The sequence below is a fragment of the Homo sapiens genome, chromosome 5, assembly GCF_000001405.40.
Source record: "Homo sapiens chromosome 5, GRCh38.p14 Primary Assembly".
Classification (NCBI taxonomy): domain Eukaryota; kingdom Metazoa; phylum Chordata; class Mammalia; order Primates; family Hominidae; genus Homo; species Homo sapiens.
This window is the reverse complement of record NC_000005.10, coordinates 176,937,483-176,963,421: the sequence shown is the minus strand read 5'-3', so window position 1 is coordinate 176,963,421 and position 25,939 is coordinate 176,937,483. Positions and strand designations below refer to the sequence as shown.

General features: G+C 42.4%; 1 protein-coding gene across 15 annotated transcripts in view, besides 2 other annotated features; it reads left to right on the top strand.

Annotated features, from left to right (window-relative positions):
- Positions 1–25,939, top strand: part of UIMC1 (ubiquitin interaction motif containing 1) — a 117,598-nt gene that overhangs the window by 59,181 nt on the left and 32,478 nt on the right. For all 15 annotated transcript variants that reach the window (NR_146150.1, NR_146149.1, XM_017009577.2 and 12 more), the window contains 4 exons: positions 5,268–5,329; positions 7,387–7,463; positions 11,845–11,948; positions 19,934–20,087. Coding sequence is in view for 13 of the 15 variants with exons in the window: in XM_017009577.2 (XP_016865066.1) it covers positions 5,268–5,329; positions 7,387–7,463; positions 11,845–11,948; positions 19,934–20,087 (397 nt within the window). In the remaining 2 variants the exon portion in view is untranslated. The remainder of the gene's footprint in view (positions 1–5,267; positions 5,330–7,386; positions 7,464–11,844; positions 11,949–19,933; positions 20,088–25,939) is intronic.
- Positions 18,392–19,249: an enhancer, noted in NCBI's record as "OCT4-NANOG-H3K27ac hESC enhancer chr5:176371174-176372031 (GRCh37/hg19 assembly coordinates)". NCBI's record gives its function as "activates a minimal SCP1, AML or CMV promoter by ChIP-STARR-seq in naive and primed H9 embryonic stem cells {active_cell/tissue: H9 hESC(naive and primed)}" and the evidence as "EXISTENCE:reporter gene assay evidence [ECO:0000049][PMID:30033119]".
- Positions 19,250–20,108: an enhancer, noted in NCBI's record as "OCT4-NANOG-H3K27ac hESC enhancer chr5:176370315-176371173 (GRCh37/hg19 assembly coordinates)". NCBI's record gives its function as "activates a minimal SCP1, AML or CMV promoter by ChIP-STARR-seq in naive and primed H9 embryonic stem cells {active_cell/tissue: H9 hESC(naive and primed)}" and the evidence as "EXISTENCE:reporter gene assay evidence [ECO:0000049][PMID:30033119]".

Below are 25,939 nucleotides of genomic sequence, written 5' to 3'. Positions count from 1 at the left end.
AGCCTCCTGAGTAGCTGGGGTCACAGGCATGCACCACCATGCCTGGCTAATTTTTGTATTTTTTGTAGAGATGGGGTTTCACGATGTTGGCCAGTCTGGTCTTGAACTGCTGGCCTCAAGGCATCCGCCCCCCTTGGCCTCCCAAAGTTCTGGGGTTACAGATGTGAGCCACTCTGCCCAGCCCCATTTTCACTTTTAAGTATTAAAAATACCCTTTGATAATAATTCTTTGAATTTTTTTTTTTTTTTTTTTTTTTTTTTTTTAATTTATTTTTTTATTGATAATTCTTGGGTGTTTCTCACAGAGGGGGATTTGGCAGGGTCATGGGACAATAGTGGAGGGAAGGTCAGCAGATAAACAAGTGAACAAAGGTCTCTGGTTTTCCTAGGCAGAGGACCCTGCGGCCTTCCGCAGTGTTTGTGTCCCTGATTACTTGAGATTAGGGATTGGTGATGACTCTTAACGAGCATGCTGCCTTCAAGCATCTGTTTAACAAAGCACATCTTGCACCGCCCTTAATCCATTTAACCCTGAGTGGACACAGCACATGTTTCAGAGAGCACAGGGTTGGGGGTAAGGTCACAGATCAACAGGATCCCAAGGCAGAGGAATTTTTCTTAGTGCAGAACAAAATGAAAAGTCTCCCATGTCTACTTCTTTCTACACAGACACGGCAACCATCCGATTTCTCAATCTTTTCCCCACCTTTCCCGCCTTTCTATTCCACAAAGCCGCCATTGTCATCCTGGCCCGTTCTCAATGAGCTGTTGGGCACACCTCCCAGACGGGGTGGTGGCCGGGCAGAGGGGCTCCTCACTTCCCAGTAGGGGCGGCCGGGCAGAGGCGCCCCTCACCTCCTGGGCGGGGCGGCTGGCCGGGCGGGGGGCTGACCCCCCCCACCTCCCTCCCGGACGGGGCGGCTGGCCGGTCGGGGGGCTGACCCCCCACCTCCCTCCCGGACGGGGCGGCTGGCCAGGCAGAGGGGCTCCTCACTTCCCAGTAGGGGCGGCCGGGCAGAGGCGCCCCTCACCTCCCGGACGGGGCGGCTGGCCGGGCAGCGGGGCTGACCCCCCCCACCTCCCTCCCGGACGGGGCGGCTGGCCGGGCGGGGGGCTGACCCCCCCACCTCCCTCGCGGACGGGGCGGCTGGCCGGGCAGAGGGGCTCCTCACTTCCCAGTAGGGGCGGCCGGGCAGAGGCGCCCCTCACCTCCCGGACGGGGCGGCTGGCCGGGCAGGGGGGCTGACCCCCCCCACCTCCCTCCCGGACGGGGCGGCTGGCCGGGCGGGGGGCTGACCCCCCCACCTCCCTCGCGGACGGGGCAGCTGGCCGGGCAGAGGGGCTCCTCACTTCCCAGTAGGGGCGGCCGGGCAGAGGCGCCCCTCACCTCCCGGACGGGGCGGCTGGCCGGGCAGGGGGGCTGACCCCCCCACCTCCCTCCCGGACGGGGCGGCTGGCCGGGCGGGGGGCCGACACCCCCACCTCCCTCCCGGACGGGGCGGCTGGCCGGGCGGGGGGCCGATCCCCCCACCTCCCTCCCGGACGGGGCGGCTGGCCGGGCAGAGGGGCTCCTCACTTCCCAGTAGGGGCGGCCGGGCAGAGGCGCCCCTCACCTCCCAGACGGGGCGGCTGGCCGGGCGGAGGGCTGACCCCCCCACCTCCCTCCCGGACGGGGCGGCTGGCCGGGCAGAGGGGCTCCTCACTTCCCAGTAGGGGCGGCCGGGCAGAGGCGCCCCTCACCTCCCGGACCGGGCGGCTGGCCGGGCGGGGGGCTGACCCCCCCACCTCCCTCCCGGATGGCACGGCTGGCCGGGCGGGGGGCTGACCCCCCACCTCCCTCCCGGATGGGGCGGCTGGCCGGGCGGGGGGCTGACCCCCCCTCACCTCCCTCCCGGACGGGGTGGCTGCCGGGCGGAGATGCTCCTCACTTCCCAGATGGGGTGGCTGCTGGGCGGAGAGGCTCCTCACTTCTCAGACGGGGCAGCTGCCGGGCGGGGGGGCTCCTCACTTCTCAGACGGGGTGGTTGCCAGGCAGAGGGTCTCCTCACTTCTCAGACGGGGCGGCCGGGCAGAGACGCTCCTCACCTCCCAGACGGGGTCTCGGCCGGGCAGAGGCGCTCCTCACATCCCAGATGGGGCGGTGGGGCAGAGGCGCTCCCCACATCTCAGACGATGGGCGGCCGGGCAGAGACGCTCCTCACTTCCTAGATGTGATGGCGGCTGGGAAGAGGCGCTCCTCACTTCCTAGATGGGATGGCGGCCGGGCGGAGACGCTCCTCACTTCCCAGACTGGGCAGCCGAGCAGAGGGGCTCCTCACATCCCAGACGATGGGCGGCCAGGCAGAGACACTCCTCACTTCCCAGACGGGGTGGCGGCCGGGCAGAGGCTGCAATCTCGGCACTTTGGGAGGCCAAGGCAGGCGGCTGGGAGGTGGAGGTTGTAGTGAGCCGAGATCACGCCACTGCACTCCAGCCTGGGCACCATTGAGCACTGAGTGAACGAGACTCCGTCTGCAATCCCGGCACCTCGGGAGGCCGAGGTTGGCGGATCACTCGCGGTTAGGGGCTGGAGACCGGCCCGGCCAACACAGCGAAACCCCGTCTCCACCAAAACCAGTCAGGCGTGGCGGCGCGTGCCTGCAATCGCAGGCACTCGGCAGGCTGAGGCAGGAGAATCAGGCAGGGAGGTTGCAGTGAGCCGAGATGGCAGCAGTACAGTCCAGCTTCGGCTCCGCATGAGAGGGAGACCGTGGGGAGACGGAGACGGAGACGGAGACGGAGACGGAGACGGAGGGGGAGGGGGAGGGGGAGAGGGAGAGAGGGCTGAATTTTTTTTTTTTTTTAAGATTCAATGCAAACCATCCCTTCCTTATTAACATATTATTTCTCCAGGAAGAAGATGTCTTGATTAGGCCATAGCTTCCTTAAATTTTTATTTCTGCCATGCTTTCATGTTCACCTTGATTACATTTGGGTAGTCTAAATTTTATTTGCTTATTTTGCTATCCTGTGTTCATATTCTGGAAGAACCTCACTTTATGTTCAGATTACTGCCATTGAGGTATAAATTTCTAAATTAAAATAATGTATTGAAATGAAGACGTTCTTGGGATTCTACATTGAAATGATTAGGAAGAGGATCATCTGAGTAAGCAATATAATAGTTTTTAGCGTGTGGATTTTAGAGTCAGGCAAGTCTCAGCGCTACGATTTTGACCAACTATATGATTTAGGGCAAATTATTTAACCTCTCGAAGTTTCACTTATTTTTAAAATAATTTAATGGTTTTTGCTTCTTAAGTTGCTTGTGAGAATTAAAGGAGATAAGGAATGTAAAGTGATTAGCACAGGCCTGGCACTGAATAGAAGCACAATAATTTTGTTTGTTTGAGACAGAGTTTTCACTCTTGTCATCCAGGCTGGAGTGCAATAGCACGATCTTGGCTCACTGCAACCTCTACCTTTTGGGTTCAAGCGATTCTCCTGTCTCAGCCTCCCGAGTAGCTGGCATTAGAGGCGTGAGCCACCATGCCCGGCTAATTTTGTATTTTTAGTAGAGACGGGATTTCTCCATGTTGGTCAGGCTGGTCTTGAACTCCCGACCTCAGGTGATCCGCCCACCTTGGCCTCCCAAAGTGCTGGGATTACAGGCGTGAGCCACCGCGCCTGGCCAAAGCACAATAATTTTTTTTTTTTTTTTTTTTTTGAGACGGAGTCTCGCTCTGTCGCCCAGGCTGGAGTGCAGTGGCGGGATCTCGGCTCACTGCAAGCTCCGCCTCCCGGGTTCACGCCATTCTCCTGCCTCAGCCTCCCAAGTAGCTGGGACTACAGGCGCCTGCCACTACGCCCGGCTAATTTTTTGTATTTTTAGTAGAGACGGGGTTTCACCGTTTTAGCTGGGATGGTCTCGATCTCCTGACCTCGTGATCTGCCTGCCTCGGCCTCCCAAAGTGCTGGGATTACAGGCGTGAGCCACCGCGCCCGGCCAATAATTTTTTTAAACAATTACACTGAGAAGGTTTGAGATATGCTTTAGCCTAAGGCAGAGATGGAGGTGCCTTATAACTAACTTACTAGTGCTTTGATTGCATCTAAAGACCAAGGCTAGTCATTATAAAATTCTGTTAAATGGACACTAGGTGTCAGCATTCTCTTTCTCTTTCTTTCTCTTTCTGAGAGTTCAATAAAAACCTTGTCACCCCTGAGTTCAAAGGAAGAGACAGGTTAAGTATTTATTGCTGTTGTATTTTAGTCCTTTGGTAGTTTGGTTAAGTCTTGTTTTTCATAATGACTATATTCCCTATTATTGTACAACTTTCCTTTTGACTGAAAACTCAACTATTCCTGATTTTTAAATGTATTTCATCATTTACCTGAATGGTAGCGAGATTCATAAAGAGATGCCTAACTTGTTTAGGTTATTCATATCTTATTAGGAAACCTTGAAAACTTCAGCTGGTAGCTTTATGTCTAGTGGAAGAAGCCTCACAGCCCAGGCACTTCCTCAGAAGTCTGCCTAAGGCAGCAGTAGCTGCTTTTTCTGTGATCTTCTGTGCATGTATGTTTAATGAGTTGGTATTTGCGTCAACTCTACCATTAATCAATGAAAATAATTTTTGAATCAATGAAAATAATCTTTCCTTATGTAGTCCCTATTCATTACATTTCTGAAAAGATAATCCTGTAGCCAGATATAAAAACCATAGTGGCAGATTTGTAGCAAAAAGAATCTTTGTAACCTTCCCTTTAGATGTCCTGTGTTATGGCTTGGTTTTTCTCAAAGATCATAGATTGCAGTGTTTATCTCAACTCAGTATTTCCTTTGAAAATTGAACTTTTCTCTATATTTTCCTTTCCCCCATGCAAACTTTTTGATTGTTTTTCTGAAATCATAATTCATTTGACTTACCAGTTAATATTGATACAGGTCTTGCATGTTATGAAGTGCATTGTGTACATTATCTTGTTTAATTTTCACAACACTCTGTGAGGCAATTGTTAATACCCATTTTAAGATGAGGAAAGAGATTCAGATGTCATTTACCCAATCACAAATTTAGTAAGTGATTTAGTTCTGATTTAAATACCAGTCTTCTGACTTTACAGGATGTGCTTGTTTTATTGACACTTACTGGCTTATGGAAAATATTTTCTTCTTATTGTTAATTGTTGAGGGAGAACATTGAACAATTAAATTTTTTTAAAAAAGGAAGAGAAGCCAGTTCACCTGTGCCTGTATATTTAAGATACTACGTATTTCTTTGCAGTCTTCCCAAGGGATTGTTGAAGAAACTTCTGAAGAGGGAAACTCTGTACCTGCTTCACAAAGGTGAGAGATTATATGTTGCTATGCATTCTCCTCTGATGGTTGCCAGCATAAGGGAGATGAACCACATGAGTGAGACTGTACGTGGACAGCTTGCCAGAGAACTTTTAGCTCTTTTATAAGTGAAGACTAGGAGAAATTTTATTAGTATCTCTAAGTTCTCAGATGTGCATCTCATAGAAGCCCAGAATATTAAGAGCTGGAAGAGATCCTAGAGGTCATCTTGTCCAGGCCAGCTATCTTGGCATAAATCTCATTTACATTATTTCTGAAAAGCGGTCACATCCTGCAATTCTCTTAACTAATTACACTAGTTTTCTATGCCAATTTGAAGGCTCTAGACTGATTTCTTTATAGTCCTTCTATTCTTAGCCCCTTTCTCTCTTTTCCCCAACTCTGCTTATGCTTATTTTATCTGTATATCTAAACCTTATACATCTTTTAAATTTACTCTTGAGACTTAACATCCTCTTCAAAGTCTTCATATTATTCAGGCCACACAGGACCTGTGTCACTCTCACTGTCTGTCCTGTGCCACTTTTAATCCGTTTGTGCCTCCTATCTCCTGTAAAGGATGGTATTTGCATTACCTCCTCCATTGTTCTTGCTGATTGATTGATGGGCTTACCTTCTAAGTCTTCTTACTTTAATAATAGATAGCAGTTGATTAATTATAAACTGCACTATTAACTGGATCATGCTTCCAGTTACTTTCCACTTGCCCTTTTTATCTAGTAGTTGAGTTTTGAGACTTTCTCAAGAGCTTAGTTTTGAACTGCATGACTGTTCTCCCATATGAGAGTTGAAGCCCACTTGCCATTTGCTGTAGTCAAGGTGGTGGTCTTTCTTAGGCTTCTGGTTGATAGTACTTGGTATTCCTTCCTGGGCTAAAGAATATGGCTTTGGTTTGATTTTCCTGCTGTTAAGACAGTTTTGGAAGTGGTTTTAACAGAGTATGCCTTTACTCCCTATAGGCCTCTCTGCTTTATTGTGGTGAGCCTTGTGCAGAGCAGATGTAGGTTTTAATAAATGATTATACACTTTGTCACCAGGAGAGAGTTGGAATCGCAGGCAATGTGGTTTGACTTCAAATTGATTAGCCCATTTTATAAATGTCAGAAAATTGTTTTGTGATGGACCCTTTGAATAGAGCACTAATGTTACATGCAGAGTAAACTGTCTGGCTGGGGTTTATAACAAATGCTATGAGATGTTTTATTTAGAGATAAATCACTTGTGGTTTTCTATCAGGATTTAGTTATTTATCATGAGTTCAGTTGTAGCTATTCTGTCTTCTCTGTGGTTCTTGGTTGATGTGAGGATTTTTGTTTTCAAGCATCCTCTTGCATACTTGATCAAACTAATCGTAAAGCCCTGTGAAGCATGAGGGGGCTAGCTCAGATGCTCAGATCAGCCATGTATTCCTATGTCAGGAAGAGATTGCACTCCATGAGCAGTCAGGGAAAACCAGAAGGTTGGATGAAGGAAGCCATTCATAATTAAGTTTTTGTTAGAAAAGAGATTCAATTTATGTGGGCAGATTTTTGCTGTAGGGCAGTTTGGAATTGTTTTTTATTTTTGTTGCATGGAAAGCAACATCTTGAGATAAAGAGGAGATTTAACTGCAAAAGGAGGAGAAAGTGTGTTGTCAGAAGAATCTCTGTGTCTTCTCTTGTCAGTTTACAAATCTCTAGCCTTCAGAAGGCTGAGATGGAGGCTATAAAACACCTTTGACATCCTTATATTGGAGTGGAGTTTTTGCCTTCTCTGATATTCACAGACAGTTCTCACCCTTCAACCTTCCTTTGTGAAAACTCCAAAAGGGAATTTGTTTTCATTCAGTGATTTCACTGGAACTGAAGTTGTAAGCATATTTATTTTCCATATTTCTGGTCTGGAGTTTTCAGTACTGATTCCTTGCTTTCCTATTGTGCTTTTGTGGTATTAGGCAGCAAGTATCTGTGATTACCTGTGGCTTTGTGAGTGACTCACCATTGCTTTTGGCTCTATGTTCTGATTTATTTTACTGGGAATTCATTTGGGATTTGGTTCTCTTTCAGTGTTGCTGCTTTGACCAGTAAGAGAAGCTTAGTCCTTATGCCAGAGAGTTCTGCAGAAGAAATCACTGTTTGTCCTGGTAAGTACCCCACTGTGATTTTACTGAATTTCTGATACCTATTTACCTTTTCATGCCTATTAATTTTCCTCTGACTCTTCAAACCTACTCTCTGGAGGTTTGTATGTAATTGATACGTGTATGTACATGTCTCAACACTCGTATGCGTATACACATATAGGTGTTTTTAATGGCCATTGGCTTTTATTCTCAATCTTTTCTCTCCTTAGGGGTAATTTAGTTTTGAAATTAACATGACTTTTTTTGTCTTCTTGATTGTTTACAGGCCTCATCAGAGATGGCAGCAAAGCATCAGGAATAGCATTTGCTTAACTGTACATTCAGAGCCTTTTGTTATTTAATTTGTTTAAATTATTTTAAATTAAATTGTTTTAAATTATTTTGTCAGCCAGCCTGGAGTGCGGTGGTGCAATCATAGCTCACTGCAGCCTTGAACTTCGGGGCTTAAGTTCTCCCTCCTTGGCCTCCCAAAGTGCTAGGATTACAGATGTGAGCCACTGTGCCTGGACTTCACAGCCTTTTAGTAGTTAGTTTTTATATTGCCATTTGTTGGGGTCTTACTGCATAGGAGGTTCAGAAATTGAGTTTTGTGCATGTTCTGTCATTATTTTTAATCTTAGACCTAAGATGCTTAACCTCGTTAAGTGCTTTAGTTTGCTTTTTGTTAATTGTAAAAATTAAAAGATAGGTACTTTGTTTTAGGTAGAAGAGATGCTCATTCAAAGTTGCACATGGATAGATTTAGATATACAAAATAATGTAAAATGAACTAAGATACTTACCATCTAAGAAACTCCTGAATCATTGTATAATATGAAGCATTATTTTGTGATATGAACCACTACTTTCTAAGGAATTTGTTTTAGACTATATTTTCCTTTCTGGCTTTTCTGAAAAGATCATTAGCCTCATTCCTGTGAGATTGAGGGACTTCCTACTGATGTTTAACTTTGAACAGCAAGTATACAGATGTTGCCCTAAGTCACATCTGGTTTTCCCTCAGGTCTCGTATAGCCTATAAGGATTAGAGATAATCATAGTTTTCTTATTTTGGTTTCCTTCAATGTTTTTCCACAGAGACTCAAACTTAGTTTGCATGTAATCTAGGAAAGACCTATAAATATTTTTAAACATCTGGCAGTCTATCATAAAGGTCTTTATTTATTTTAAAAATCGGACTATGTTGGCTTTTTTCTTTTTTTTTTTTTTTTGAGACAGAGTTTTGCCCAGGCTGGAGTGCAGTGGCGCAGTCATGGCTCGCTGACTGTAACCTTGAACTCCTTGGCTCAAATGATCCTCACTCCTCAGCCTCCCGAGTAGCTAGGACTACAGGCATGTGCCACCACACCTAACTAATTTTAAAAATTATTATTATTATTTTTTTTTAGTAGAGACGAGGTCTTGGTGTGTTTCCCAGGCTGACCTTAAACTCCTGAGCTCAAGTAATCCTCCCGCTTTGGCTTCCTAAAGTGCTGGGGATTAGGCATGAACCATCGTGCTCAGCCTATGTTGGTTTTTATTGAAAGTGGCTCCTTAATTCATTTGAAATGTGTTTGGATTACTGCCTAACAATACCCACTAAGAGACTACACTACCGAGTGCTCAGATTTTGGCAGGAGCACTCAAGAATACTGTGCTACCTTTGTGAAAAGAAAGCTTTCCCCCTCTGTCTGGGACTACTGACTTCCTAGAAGGAAATCACTCAGTCTGTTTAGGATGATGGCGTGTGACATCACCATGGGATCTTGCAGGAGGAACCTGCAAATATATTGATCTTGAAAGGCCTAGTTAATGAGAGGGAAAAGCAGGCCCTTCATACTGAGGTTAGATAGCTTTTATGATCATGACTTGCTGTCATTAGCCTGCTAATTAAGTCCAACTGTTTGCTGACATAAACCACTTCTAAATGAGATTGCAAAAGGTATTCATTACATTAATGTTCCTTTTGCTAAGAAAGTATAACTGCTTCACCATGAAGCCAAACTCCTGGGTTTCTTTTTAAATATATAATTTAGAAGTTATATATATAAATTATCTGAAAAAATTTGTTCCAAATGGGTGAAACACATATTTAGTGTAGTAGACTGTTACCTGTTTACTTTTGTTTCATATTTCTGACAGTTCAGGAGTCTAATATTTAAGATTACAATATCTTTTTAGTGTTACTTAGTTGAAGAAGCAGGATTATAGCCTTATGCCTACATTTTGCATGCTTCTAGCATTGCTTTTTTCTGAGAAGCTAATGCCCTCTTAGTTGGACATTTCAGCCATTCACAGAAAGCATAATTGAAGACTTTTTATTATTGCAGTAATCTAAGCAGTGAATGGTTCTTACTTTTAAATATGCTGAATATCTTTTTGAAAATACCTTTAGGGAAAGTTGACAGGATTTTGAAGTTTATGTCCTGTAAGCCTTTTTCCAATAAGGTGTGTGTGTGTGTGTGTGTGTGTGTGTGTGTGTGTATGTGTCCAGTTTTCAAAAAAATTTGTGATGTATTAAAATATAATTAATTCTAGAAATGTATTTAATCCTTTCTTAATGATTCAGAAGATACATTAGAAACTTGCAGATGCCCTATTTGCCTGACATTGGCCATTTATTGTTTTGTGAAGCAAAGTGCTAATTAGAGGTACAGCAGGTATAGTGTCAGATAACAGAGAACTTACTGGATTTGCATTCTGAAATAAATGTCTGGTTTTAGTTTGGGTTCCTGTAACAAAATGCTCTAGACTGAGTGGGTTATAAGCAACATAAATTTATTTCTCACAGTTTTGGGGGCTGGAGAGTCCAAGATCAAGGAGTTGGCAGATTCAGTGTCTGGTGAGAGCCAGACAACTTCCCGCTGTGTCCTCACATGGTGGAAAGAGGGTGAGAGAGCTCTCTGGGGTCCCTTATAAAAGGGCACTAATCCCATTCTTTTGAGGGAAGGCCCTATGCTCATGACCTAATTACCTTCCAAAGGTCACATTTCCTAATATTATCACATTAGGGGTTGGGATTTCAACATACGAAGTTCGGGGGGTACACAAACATTCAGTCTGTAATGTTTCTTTTCCAGATACATTGGTGGTTTTGAAAGATAATTACTATTTTTTTTATTGTTGTTATATTAAGTGATATGTGTCTACAGCAGAAGTTGGCAAACTTTTTTTTGTGTGTGTGAGACAGTGTCTCACTCTGTAACTCAGGCTGGAGTGCAGTGGTGTGATCATAGCTCATTACAACCTTGAACTCCTGACCTCAAGTGATCCTCCCGCCTCGTCTTCCCAAAGCATTGGGATTGCAGGCATGAGTGACTGTGCCCAGCCAAACTTTTTAAAAATAAAAGACTAGATAGGAAATATTTTAGGCCCTGTGGGCCGTATAGTCTGTTGAGACTATTTGGTTCGGCCATTTTAGTGCAAAAACAGCCATAGACAGTACATAGATGAATGAGCATGGCTGTGTTCCAATAAAACCTTACTTAGAAAAATAGGCAGCTGACAGGATTTGGCCCATGAGCTGTATCTAGTTTTCTGGCCCCTGAACTAGACTACAAGGGACCCCATCTTAGATTTTCATATTACTGATAGCGAGTATAATGCCTGGGACTTGATGTTCAATTATTTGTTGAATTAATAGATGCTGCTTAAAGAATATATTAAAGAAAGGCATATCTTTGTCTAGAATGTATATTCTATTTCTGGTCCCAATTTCTGTTTTTGCTAATCATCTCTTTAACCTCAGCACTAACATTGGCAGGTTCTTGTTTTCTGTCAAATCAGTATACTTTAAAACTAGAATTACAGTGGAAATAAGCCAGTTGATCAGTTGGTCAATGAATAAACAAATTGTGATATATCTATACAATGGAATGCTACTCAGCAGCAAAAAGTATGAACTATTGATATTATGTGACGACATGGGTCCATCTCAGACACATTATACTAAGTAAAAGAAGCTGGACACAAAAGACATGTGATTCTATTTATATGAGAGACAAAATTATAGGAACATAAAGTAAACTGGTCATTATAAAGAGTTCATTGCAGTGACCAAAGAGGTAGGAGATTGACTGCAGAGGGGTACAGAGAACTTTTTGGGGTGTTGGAAATGTTTTATATCTTGATTATCGTAGAGGTTACATGGTATAAATGGTAGTATATAAATGGTATACATTTGTCAAAACACATTAAACTGTATACTGAAAATTTATGAATTCTGTTATTTGTAAATTATGCCTCAGTAAAGCTTTAAGAAGAAACAAACTAGATCTATTAATATATTGCCACCACAGTATTGTCATATCCTAAACTTTAGGTGAAAATAGGCATGTTTGTTTTTTTAATTATGAAAACACAAAATGAAAATTAATGGGATTTTAACTTTTTTAAATTACAGAGACCCAGCTAAGTTCCTCTGAAACTTTTGACCTTGAAAGAGAAGTCTCTCCAGGTAGCAGAGATATCTTGGATGGAGTCAGAATAATAATGGCAGATAAGGAGGTGAATATTTTCCTCTATATTTTTTCTCAGTGGTTTCTTTCCGTTGGCAGTCCTCTCTCTGATGCAACGTTGACATTGGCTGAAAAGATTTAGGTGGCAGGGGGTTTTAGTTTTGGGGGCCCTTATGTTAGGGAGAGATTTTTATAGTTAAGATTAGTTCAGCATTGTTTCTAAAAATAACAGTAGTTACCATTTCTTGAGTACTTTTGTATGCATTATTATTTCTATTAGAGATGGGGAAACAGAGGCTTAGGATGTTTAATTTGCTCTAAATCATACTACTAATAATGGTAGAAATATAATTTGAACACGGGTTTGAATCCAAAGTTACAGGGCATTTTTTATTATGTACCAATAAGTAACAGAGACAAACAGTCTTGGAAAAAATTACTATATTTATATTATGATGTATACATAACTTCCAGCCCTAATTTGATCAGAAATGCAAAGTCAAGATAGCTGTCTGATAAAATAAATCTATTTGCATCATTACCTTTCCTCACTTTACATATCTGGCAGTAACCATAAAGCTGATTGATACAGGTTCATACTTCTGATTAAGATTCTCGGTGTGTATATTTTTCCTTTTCTTTTCTTTTTTTTGGGATGGAGTTTCACTCTGTTGCCCAGGCTGCAGTGGCAGTGGCACGATCTCGGCTCACTGCAACCTCTGCCTTCCTGGTCCAAGTGTTTCTCCTGCCTCAGCCACCCGAGTAGCTGGGATTACAGGTGCACGACACCATGCTCAGCTAATTTTTATATTTTTAGTAGAGACGGGGTTTCACCACGTTGGCCAGGCTGGTATTGAACTCCTGACCTCAAGTGATCTGCCCACCTTAGCCTCCCAAAGTGCTGGGATTACAGGCGTGAGCCACCGCGCCCGGTCCTCAGTATGTATTTTTAATGTTGAGTCTAACAAAACAGTTTACCTGGAATTCCTTTAAAAATTTTTAAATCTTAAAAATCTGTTGCTGTCACAAGCAACCTGAGAGCCAAATTCCTCAGTAGAAATAAAGATTTTGGTTACATTGGTGTATACTTTCTTATCCTGCGCACTGTAAGAAAGGTTCCTTTTTGGCCGGGCGCAGTGGCTCATGCCTGTAATCCGAGCACTTTGGGAGGGTGAGGCAGGTGGATCACGAGGTCAAGAGATTGAGACCATCCTGGCCAACATGGTGAAACCATGTCTCTACTAAAAATACAAAAATTAGCTGGGCGTGGTGGTGCGCATCTGTAGTCTCAGCTATTTGGGAGGCTGAGGCAGGAGAATGGCTTGAACCTGGGAGTCGGAGGTTGCAGTGAGCTGAGATCGCGCCACTGCACTCCAGCCTGGCAACAGAGCAAGACTCCGTCTCAAAAAAAAAAAAAAAAAAGAAAGGTTCCTTTTTATATTCTGGAATTTTGTATTTTTTCTCCTCGAGACAAAGTCTTGCTCTTGTCTGCCAGGCTGGAGTGCAGTGGTGCGATCTCGGCTCACTGCAATCTCCACCTCCCGGAGTTTTAGTGATTCTCATGCCTCAGCCTCCCAAGTAACTAGGATTACAGGTGCCCGCCACCATGCCCAGCTAATTTTTGTATTTTAGTAGAGATGGGATTTTACCCTGATGGCCAGGCTGGTCTCAAACTCCTGACCTCAGGTGATCCACTAGGCCTCCCAAAGTGCTGGGATTACAGGCGTGAGCCACTGTGCCCGGCCTGGGATTTTTAAAAAAGTTTTTACAATAGAAGTTAGATCCTCTCCCTGGTCTCTGCGCTGCAGGTAACTGGGTAAATATTCTGCCTTCATGAATCATGCACACTGCCTGGTTCTCTGGAACCTGATCTGTCACAATTGACCAAGATTCCCTAATGCCAGTGGTGGTAGGAAAGATGATGACACTCCCTGCTGCAGAGTGACTGACGACAGATCCTGCTCCATAATGTCAAAATGGCCTCTGGATTGTTTTCTCAGGAAGAAACAGAATCTTCTAAATGGGAATGAGGGAATAGAATATTATTACCATAGTCATCCTAACATACAGAAGAAGCCCTTAGTTAAGGCTGATTTCATACCCATCCATGACTGCAGACGAGACTGTTCTTTGGGTCAAAGAGCATGAACCCTGTTTAGAATTTATGGTGTACACGTCTGTGCTACTATATATCAAATAGATGGAATCATAATAGCCTTTCTCACATTGAATGTCCTCTTTTTGGTGTTGCTGTTTGCTGATATCTGTGGATGTCTCTAAACAGTCTTAGAAGTTTGCATTAAAAGGGTGCAGCACACCAACATGGCACATGTATACATATGTAACAAACCTGCACATTGTGCACATGTACCCTAAAACTTAAAGTATAATAATAATAAAATTTAAAAAAATAAATAAATAAATTTTTTTAAAAAGGGGAAAACTGGAGTTTTAACTACTAGACCAAGATTACACATTAAAAGAATGACTACATAAATAAATATAGTAGGAAAATATTTTAAAAAAAAGTTTCCATTAAAAGAAGTTAGATATACTGTAGATTTTAAATCATGTACTAGTTACAAGTCACTTATTAGACAGAATGGAACATTTTATGTGCACAAAGATAGTATAAAGGGTGTGGACTCTTGCCATTGGGATCTGTGTAGGTCATTTGTCCTAAAATTTCTTGTTTACTGGAAGGTGATATGGTGTAGTACAAGGAGCTCGAGCATTGCAATTAGAAGACATGGCTTTAAATCCCAGCTCCACCATGTTTTGAATGTTGTGCAAATTAATCACTTTACTCATTCACTAGGCAGCTATTTATAGTTTGTATACTTTGTGCCAGTCATTGTTTTAGACTCTTGGGATACAAAGATAAATAAGAAAAACAGTCCCTGCACTCAGAGGGTTCTGGTAAGGGAGGAGACAGACATATAAACAGATAATTATAATGTGGTCTGACAAAGGTAATGATGGATTCCTAGGGCATTAAGGAAGCACAGAAGAGAAATGCTTTTCTGAATTTCAGTTTTTCATATGTAAAATGGAGGCAGAAATACCTATTTTACTCTGTTGGTTTGCAGGTGAAATTAGATAAAGAATATAAAACGTGGTAGAGATTTGTCACAAGTAGAAGTATCATGTGGAAAGTCATATTATTTTACTGCTTTGTAATATATTACTGTTTATTAGTTTACTAATGACAGAGAATTGCTCAATAGTATTTGAGGTATTTGGAAGTACCCATGGCATAACTGTATGTAGTCCCTCTTGATTTCTGACAATAGTCAACTTTCTTTGGAAATAGTGTTTCTGAATATCTTGCCTGAGAGTTTCCCTTAGTTGGAGTCTTAGATAAATATCCTATTCTCAGAGGAGCTAATAGAAGTTATTCAGAGTCCTCCAGAGCTAGTTTAGTCAGTTAAGTTTTTCAGTAAACTATGTTAAGAGTCGTGTGGTGAGAAGGGGAAGATCCAGAACAAGGAGGTTTCTAAGCTACACATAATTGGGTGGGGGAGGGATGGAGAGTTTGATTTGCAGGACATGCTTTTGTTTTCACTGGGTTCATTTCTCTTGAAGTGAGGTGTATTTTTTTTTTTTTGAAGTCTGAAGTTAAGGACCAACAACCTTTAAGATGTCGAGATTCAGTATCTAAGTACCTCTTTTGAAAAATAGTTGTATAATTTTTTTTTTTTTCTTTTGAGATGGAGTCTCACCCTGTTGCCTAGGCTGGAGTGCAGTGGCGCAATCTCGGCTCTGCAAGCTCCACCTCCCGGGTTCACATCATTCTCCTGCCTCAGCCTCCCGAGTAGCTGGGATTACAGGCGCCCACCACCACGCCTGGCTAATTTTTTGTGTTTTTAGTAGAGATGGGGTTTCACCGTGTTAGCCAGGATGGTCTCCATCTCCTGACCTCATGATCCACCCGCCTTGGCCTCCCAAAGTGCTGGGATTACAGGCGTGAGCCACCGTGCCTGGCCGAAAAATAGTTGTATAATATTTTAAAAGAAGTAGAAGGCGAGCGGGGAGGGATAGCATTAGGAGATACACCTAATGTAAATGATGAGTTAATGGGTGCAGCACACCAACATGGCACATGTATACATATGTAACAAACCAGCACATTGTGCACATGTACCCTAGAACTTAAAAAATATATATATATAAAAGAAGTAGAAGCAACTCTGCAAAGAAATCCCTGACTGCATGGTCCTAATAAAAGCTGCTTTGCTTGCCTTTTTCCCCCTTGAGGTTCTTCCCTAGTAGTTAATACTTAAATAGACTTTTTAAATGATGCTGGGAAAAAATACCTTATTTTAACATAAAAATGTTCAGAAACCTTCAGGGTTGCCTATGAACAGTGGTTGGAAGTGGGCTTATATTCATAATAAGACAAGTGACTACTCCCTCTTGAATACATTAATAGTTAAAGGTACATTCTCTGCATTGTATAGAGCTGTGGTGAATACAAAGGAGTATAGTGCTCAATGTGGGCACCAGTGACACATTTGCGTCATGTAACATTTCTGTGCTTAGTGAACTTTAGAAGGCCAAGTAACTGCCCATTCACCACCAACTTTAAGTAATTAAAGACTACTTGCAAATTTTAGGGTATATTGATCCCCTTTACCCCCCTGCCATCCTTCTGCTCAAATGGCTTTGCTATTTGTCTTTTCTTTTTTGAGGCCGGGTCTCCCTCTGTTGCCTAGGCTGGAGTGCAGTGGTAGGATCTCGGCTCACTGGAACCTCCACCTCTTGGGTTCAAGCGATTATCCTGCCTCAACCACCTAAGTAGCTGGGACTACAGACATGCGCCACCACCCCTGGCTAATTTTTGTATTTTCAGTAGAGACAGGGTTTTGCCACATTAGCCAGGCTGGTCTCAAACTCTTGACCTCAAGTGATCCATTCGGCTTGGCCTCCCAAAGTGCTGGGATTATAAGCGTGAGCCATCGCACCTGGTGATTTTTCTTTTGTTTTCTTTTCTTTCTTTCCTTTTTTTTTGGAGGCAGAGTTTTGCTCTGTCACCCAGGCTGGAGTGCAGTGGCGGGATCTCGGCTCACTGCAGCCTCCGCCTCCCAGGTTTAAGTGATTCTCCTGCCTCAGCCTCCTGAATAGCTGGGATTATAGGTGCGTGCCACCACGCCCAGCTAATTTTTGTATTTTCAGTAGAGATGGGGTTTCGCTATGTTGGTCAGGGTGGTTTTGAACTCCTGGCCTCCTGTGATCTGCCTGCCTTTATTGTGGGATCTGGCCAGCAGCCCGCAATGCATCGGGGCTCTCTCTTTGTTCCTAGGCAGATCGGCAGGTTGAGAAATAATAGACACACACAAGATAGTGAAAGCTGGGTCCGGGGCGGGTCACTGCCTTCTGGTCCTGGGGTGCCAACAATGCACTGAATATACCAGCATTTATTATTAAGTTTAGTGAGGGCAGGGGTAGGTTAGTGAGGGATTTAGGGCCATTTGATTATGAGGTGAGATGGTCACATGGGGATGAAGTAATTCTTTAACATAACATTTGTATGTAGAAGTACAGTACATTTCTATGTAGAAGTATAGTATACAGAGATAAGAATTTACAATATAGTATGTTCCTCAGTAATTTCTAACAGAGCCTTAAAACAGAAACACAATCTTTCCATAACCTATGATTAGCAAGATATTAATCAGCAGTAACAATTGCAACAAAAGCTGGTTACAAACAATCCATGGAAACAGGACGTGAAGCTAGACAACTGGTTAGACCAGAAATTCTCAGAAGGGAGTATGGCTTAACCCTAAAGAGGCCTAGCGGAGCTGTGGCAAGATGAGGGCGTTTATAGCCCTATCTTATCCATATGGACAGGCGCCCACCCATGCGTCTGTTTATAGGCTCCCCACAAGGGTCGCATTCCATTCCCAGAGCTATGAACATCTTTTTCTGGGATAGGAATCTTGGTGATGTGAAACCTCCCTGACTGCACGTCCATTCATAGGCTCTCTACAGGGGGAAGCACATCACGCGCTGTTGACTCGTTCTAGCAGTCCAACCTGGCATTGTCTTTACACGATCCTGCGTGCAATTTTGTATTTACAATAATCAGGAGCATTTCATCTTTAATTCCATAGCAATAGTTTCAGGGAGTCTCCCTACATGCCTTGGCCTCCAAAGTGCTGGGATTACAGATGTGAGCCACTGTGCCTGGCCAGCTTTGCAATTTTTAAGCTTTACAACTTTTCGTTTTAAGATTTATGAACAGAGGAACCTGGATTTGTGAGGAGCTTAGTGATTAAATTTGGAAAACATAGCACCTAGAACTTCCAGACCCACTTGACTTTCCCCACCTTGTAGAGAAGAAGAATAAATAGAACCTGATAGTTTCTTAATTCCTTGCAGGATCCGCTTCCAGAAACAAGGTGGAATGGGAAGAGGCTTTTTATTTCTGCCACAACATGATAGAATGGAATTACTGAAGGTTTTGATGCCAAGTGGGCCTGGGTTTGTTCACTTAGTAACTTTGTGACCAGCAAGTTACTTTGCTTTTCCAAGCCTCAGTTTCCCCTTCTGTAATAGCAGAACTAGTGATACTTCTGTCCAGCGGCTTGTTGGGAGGGATGGATATGGAAAATGACTGGTGGAGCCTGCATAGTGTAAGAACTCAACCACTGTTAGTTCCTTTCTCATCTTTTAGGTTTTACGCCTTTAGAGTATGTCTTTTAATAAAAGGCAGGTGATGTTGAAAACAGGACATTTTCTGGCAGTTTGACTTGGTATTTAGATGGCCTGTTTTCATCTCTGCTGGATCACACTTATAAGCATTAGGTTTTAGAGATAGCCCCAACCTCTTACCCCAAAAGACCCAGTTGACTCAGAAGTCACATTTTCTATGCATTGAAGTTTTGGTCGTGTTTTGTTCTTGTATCAGAAGATATTTTATTTGTTTTCCTCATGTAGTAAGGTGTAATGACAGCCCGGGTGTCCCTTGCTTTAAATGTAAGCAGTAGCTATGCAGGATGTTTTCACATTGATTGGATAGGACATGCTGTCCTTTGAAGCAAGTGTTAGGCAGTAGTGCTGCAGTGCTCACACACACTGTTGAATTAATCACTGCAGAGTTCTTGGCTCTGATCAACCTGTGTAGGTAAAATAAAACTGCCTTTAAGAGATACCAGCAACTGTAGGAGAAATGATGACTACAAAACAGAGGAATAAGAGATAGGTTTAAGAGTGGCTTTGGCAGAATTGATTATTTTAACTAATGAATTATTTGGTGCTTCTTAAGTATGTAGATCTTAGTTTCCTCTTTCAATCCAGAAAGTCACAAATAAAACACAGGTCTTAGGTCTTATGGGTCTAAGTACAGACTTATGTTCTTAACTTAAATCCTAGTTGTGCTGTTTTTGGCTTAGAGCTCTTTTGTTTTCTAACTCCTTATGTCTTAAAGTCACTTACAGTAATAACAGTCCTTTTGTGAAATTGAAAATGTGTCCTTAAGGTGCTGTTGATATGCAAAATGTGAAACCCAGCAGGCACAGCACACTGATGCAATGAGGATTGTGCCTTACAATGTGGTAGAGATCAGTGCCCTCAAGTTTTTGAGGCAGATTCTAGTCCTTCATTTGAATCTCAACACTCCCACTTACTTGTTCTGTGACTTTGCAAATTGCTTTACTGTTTTACACAAGTACTTTTCTCACGTGTACAAAAGGAGTGTGCTAATAACTTTGTAAGATTAAATGAGTAATACATATAGAGTGTTTAATACATAGTTGTCAGTATAAATATACTTACATATAAATGAGTAATATATAAACTTACTGATAAACGAGTAATACATGTAGAGTGTTTAATACATAGTTGGCAGTATAAGGCACTGAATAAGTATTGACTCTATCAGTAGTATCTCTCAATCTTTACTCCTGAATTTGATAAGCTGTTGTTGTCTCTTTGAAAGTAAGTGAAATATGGGGTGGAGTCTCTTGCAGTTCGTTGTAGGGAATGATATGAACTAAAGCTGTTATGATTGCTGTTTGTCATGTTCTTCAGGTTGGTAACAAGGAAGATGCTGAGAAGGAAGTAGCTATTTCTACCTTCTCATCCAGTAACCAGGTATCCTGCCCGCTATGTGACCAATGCTTTCCACCCACAAAGATTGAACGACATGCCATGTACTGCAATGGTCTGATGGAGGAAGATACAGGTAAAGACCCAGCAGGACAGCCAAACTCTTACTTTTTTGTGTGGTGGTTTTATAATCCTATACATTACAATGCAGGGAAAAAACATAGCTGTTCTTCAAAGTTAAAGTTGTTGTTGGTCTTGGGTTTTTTCTATCTAGTTATTTTTCTAGTACTTTTATGTTCATCATTACTTTTAGCAGGTATTTTGTCCTGTTACACATGCCTCAGGAGAAGGGGAAGGGAAAAGTCTTTCATTTTTTAATGTTTTTGTTTGTTTGTTTGTTCTGTTTGTTTTTTGAGCCAGAGTCTCTGTCACCCATGCTGGATTGCAGTGGCGCGATCTTGGCTTTCTGCAACCTCCGCCTCCCAGGTTCAAACGATTCTCACGCCTTAGCCTCCCAAGTAGCTGGGACTACAGGCTTGCGCCACCATGCCTGGCTAATTTTTTTTGTACTTTTTTTCAGTAGAGACAGGGTTTCGCCATGTTGGCCAGGCTGCTCTCGAACTCATGACCTCAAGTGATTCTTCTGCCTTGGCCTCCCAAAGTGCTGAGATTACAGGTGTGACCCACTGCACCTGGCCCAACCTTTTTTTTTTTTTTTTTTTTTTAAGACGGAGTCTCGCTCTGTCGCCCAGGCTGGAGTGCAGTGGTGCGATCTTGGCTCACTGAAAGCTCCGCCTCCTGGGTTCACACCATTCTCCTGCCTCAGCCTCCCGAGTAGCTGGGACTACAGGTGCCTGCCACCATGCCCAGCTAATTTTTGTATTTTTTTTTTAGTAGAGATGGGGTTTCACCATATTAGCCATGATGGTCTCCATCTCCTGACCTCGTGATCCACCTGCCTCGGCCTCCCAAAGTGTTGGGATTACAGGTGTAAGCCACCACGCCCAGCCTGCACCTGGCCCATCTTTTAACGTATTAACTTATTCTTTTACATAGGTAGGCTAGAAATCAGTGCAGTGCAGTGGACCTTGCATTTCAACTTATGTATTCAAATATTGAGATTCCTGTGGAACTTGAACTAAGTTCCACGTTTTTCATTCAGAATAAACCCCTTGTAGGTTTTTTCCCTCTTTTTGTAGTTTGTTTTAATAGAAATTTTACCTAGAGACAGCAGCTGAAAAATATCACTAATTTACATTCATGTCCTACATATCATATCTCTGCTGAGTTACCGAGGAGCTGTTGGTTTATCTCTTTAAGAGTGTACCAGAGGCTGGGCGCGGTGGTTCATGCCTGTAATCCCTTTGGGAGGCTGAGGCGGGTGGGTCACCTGAGGTCAGGAGTTCGAGACCAGCCTGGTCAACGTGGTGAAACCCTGTCTCTACTAAAAATACAAAAAATTAACCAGGCGTGGTGCCGGGCTCCTGTAATCCCAGCTACTCAGGAGGCTGAGTCAGGAGAATTGCTTGAACCCGGGAGGCAGAGGTTGTAATGAGCCGAGATCGTGCCATTGCACTCCAGCCTGGGCAACAAGAGTGAAACTTCATCTCAAAAAAAAAAAAGTCTGTACCAAAATCCCTACTTTTCAGACAGCATAAGACATTGATCAAGAAAATCTTGTTAATCACAGCCCTTGAAATACCACCTCTGATTTGGCCTGTTTATGATTTTAAACTCTAAATATAGTCATGTCAGCACAGCTCTCTGTGGTCTAACATGCTGAATGTAAACCTAGGTAATTGGAAGTGTTGCAGTGTTCTTCTCAGTGCTACTTGATTCCTGTAACTTAGGTGTATTTAAATGTGACATTGTATAATTATGAAGTGTTTTTTAAATTAAGATTGCCAGAGAGGCAAGCACATGTTATTTACTTTTCTTGAAGTAATATACTTTTTAGTTATTAAATAAGGAAGTACATAAACACTTAATTTAATAAATTTGTTGATTTTTCTGATTATAAAGTAGTACATGTTCATTGTAATAATAATGGCTTACATTTATTGAATACTTAAAATTAGGCACTATTTACATAAACGGGACCATGCTATATATAGCTCTCTCTATATATTATTCTGCAACTTGTCTTTTTTATTTAGCAGTAAATTTAGCTCTTTCAATGTGCAGATAAATTTTTGACGTAGTTGAGGTCTGACTGTAAAATTTTATATTCTGCTTTTTCTGTTTATAGTGTAAATATTTCATCATGTCACAAAGTTATTTATAAAAATATTTCTAATGCCTACATAATATTTGGTAACCTGGATTGCTGTCATTTACTTAATTATTACATATTTGAAATGCTTCAAGTTACTGCGTTATAATCACACAGTACTGAGCCTCTTAGCCTAAAATTGTCGCTGTATTTTGGGATTATTTCCCAAGGATATGTTCCCATATAGGGTGACAGTAAGGTAGGCTCTGGAGGGCCAGTCAGTTTGAGCTTGAGTCCCACCTCTGTTACTGACTTACTAGTGTGTGACCCTGTGCTAATTTCCAAGCTTCCCTTTATGCATCTGTGAAATAATAATAATTACCTTGTTCAGTTTTTGTGAGGTTAAATGAGGTGTTTTAAGGAAAGTACTTAACACGGTACCTAGCACATAGTAAATACATAAGAACTATTAGCTGTTGTTACCATTCCCAGTAGTGAAATTACTATGTCAGAGATTTTTTTTTAAGGGTCTCTATGCATAGCATTGTAGTCCCTAAAGACAATGAAAGTTGAGGACCTAAATCTGGCTATCAACCACTTTTAGTGGCAGAGCACTGAAGGACTGCAATCTAGATGCAGTTTTAATTTGACAAAGCTCTTTAGTCTGATTGTTTTTTTTTTAGCTGAGTGTTCCAGTGACTAAAAGAATTCTGGGGCTGAGCATTTCAAAGGAAAGAGACTATCTTGTCTGTCTTACTAAGCACTTACACAGCTGGTATTGGGTATCTGAGTCAATGACTTATTCAATACAACATCAAGGTCCAGAAATAAATGAGTTTGAGAAACTGAATGCCCCATTGAGCTCTAGGAATATATGACCTCCTTCAGGTCAGAATGATCAGGTAAGGAGTAGTATAGGATAGCTTCTACTGACATCTCCCTTACTGAATTCCACTAGTTGGTGCTAAAATAGGAAGCTTTGGCATTTATAACTGTCAGATATCGTTTAATTACAAGATAATTGCTGTTAAGCCGGTCTTCCTTACTGGAGTGTGGTGAGAGAACTCAAACTCACATCCCCAAATCCTTGTGGTTGAAATTGATTCAGGCTTGTTCCTGAATTTTCTCAAACCAATTTTCAGACTTATGCCACTAGAACCAGGCCATTTAGGTGGGCAAAATAGACTGAGTCTTATCATCATCATCATCCATTCAGGGAGGACATTTCACGTTCTCCTTGTTCTGCTGTGTCCAGGATCAGTGACCCCGTCTAATGCTGTTCAGTTGGATTTACACTCTGGATATCGCAGACTTTCAGACATGATAGATGTAAATGTGCTTTTTGATATAATAGAAAGTCCCTGTATTCTCGGCATCATATGTCTTTATAGCTTTGATGCGAATACCCCAGACCTCCATGTGAAGATGTCTGCTATATCCTGAATGACAGTCACACTTTCTTTTTCATAGGGAAATTTGTTATAAAAACTAGTTTAGAAGACAAATTTAGAATATAGTCACGTGTTGCTCAGTGATGGGGATGTGTTCTGAGAAATGTGTCATTAAGTGATTTTGTTGTGCAAACATCATAGAGTGAGTATACTTACACAAACCTTGATGGTGTAGTCTACTACACACCTAGGCTATAAGGTATAGCCTATTGATCTTGGGCTACAAACCTGTACAGTGTGTTACTGTACCGAACACTGTAGTCACTTGTAACACAATGGTATTTGTGTATCTAAACACATAGAAACACAGAAAAGGTATAGTAAAAATATGGTATTATAATTTTATGGCACCCCCATCATATAGATGGTCCGTTGTTGGCTGAAATGTCTTTTTGTGGCACATGACTGTACTACATCCTTCTTTTCAATGCCAATGTGTCTACCTAGAGCCAGAAGTTTGCTTCTTTTCTATCACCTATTACTTCATATTTACCTTTAATTCATCCAGATATTTTGGAGCTTTTCTTTTTTTTTCTTTTTTTTTTTTTTTTGAGACAGGATCTCACTCTGTCACCCAGGCTGGATTACAGTGATACAATTACGGCTCATTGCAACCTCTGCCTCCTGGGCTCCAGTGATTCTCCAACCTCAGCCTCATGAGTAGCTGGGACTATGGGCACACACCACCCCGCCTGGCTAGTTTTTTATATTTTCTTTTGTAGAGAAAGGGTCTCACCATGTTGCCCAGGCTGGTCTTGAACTCCTGGGCCCAAGCAGGCATCCCGCCTTGGCCTCCTAAAGTGTTGGGATTACAGGTGTGAGCCACCTTGCCTGGCATTGCACTTTTTTTTTTTTTAAATGGTGCTAGGCCTTATGAAGCTTACTAAAGAAGTTTTAAGATTTCTCTCTTCAAGGAGCTTGCATTATCAATGGTGAAATAAGCATTTCCCCAAGAAATTAATTAAAAGATGACACAAGTGAATAATTGTGTACCCAAGTAAATGTCCCTGACAATGGGAGAAAGGAGAGCTGCAGTGAATAAGGATGAGATCCCAGAAAGAGTGGGCTTAGCCTTGGCTTTGCAGGCTGGTTAGGTCTGGATAAACCCATAGCAAGGTAGAGGGCCCTTTCCCCTCCTATGGGTTTAGATAAGATAAGAAGCAAGGGAAATGGCCACTAAACAATAGCTTCGTCTTAATCTTCCTAAGAGAGCTCTCTGTTGATTTTTCAGGCCCTATGAGAGGGAGCAGGGTGCCCTCACTGGAACCATTCTACTCTCTGCATGTTCCTCTACTTTCCTGGGAACAGAGCTTGGGGGTATAGGTGGGTTGGGGAAGTAGAGGAATTATGCAGAGCACCTGCTAGTGTACTTGGTGTACAATAGGTACTCAGTACGTTTGATCTCTTTACTTGGTTTCCCCACCAGCTTGCCTGCCCCATCTTCCTTGCCAGAGACAGAAGTTAGTGATTGTGCTGGTTCCTCTTAGCTTTATATGACTGGAGACAGAGGCCAGGCTCCCAACCTAGTTTTAAAATCTTTTGTAAAAGGAAGCCTTTTTTTTTTTTTACTGTGGAAGGAAAGAAGTAATTTTCCCTTTTTTTTTTTTTTTTTTTTTTTGAGACAGGGTCTTACTCTGTAGCCCAGGCTGGAGGGCAGTGGTGGAATCATGGCTCACTGCAGCCTCAACCTCCCAGGCTCAAGTGATCCTTCTGCCTCAGCCTCCCGAGTAGCTGGGACCACAGGTGCATGCCATCACGCCTGGCTAATTTTTTATTTTTTGTAGAGATGGAGTCTTTTTATGCTGCTTAGGCTGGTCTTGAACTCCTGGGCTCAAGTGATTCTCCTGCGTTGGCCTCCCAAAGTGCTGGGATTATAGGCCTAGGCCACCATGCCTGGCAAGTTACTTTTCTTGAAGACACATAAGCCAAGCTGGGAGACCATTAGCCCAATGCTTAAGGGGTGGAATAAGAGAGGACGTAACCTCCCAGTATTAAGTATCTAGCTTTTCACTCCTTCCTGTCTTCCCCTGAAGCGGATCCTAGACGTGCTTGGTTTGGCTGTGTAAAAGAAATAGCAATTAGAATCATTTACATAAAGTGTCTACTATTTATGCCTACTTACCGTGCAGCACAATAACAATTATGCATATCATTAAATATATGTCTGACTAACTTTGCTGTAAGTTTTGATTATAATACTACGCACTGGTTAAGTTGGCTCAGTCTACTCAGTTTTTTGCTCAATGACGTTGTCTATTCAGAACTATGAAAAATTAGAGGGAATGCTTTTGTTTCTTTTTTTATTTTTATTTTTTGAGACAGAGT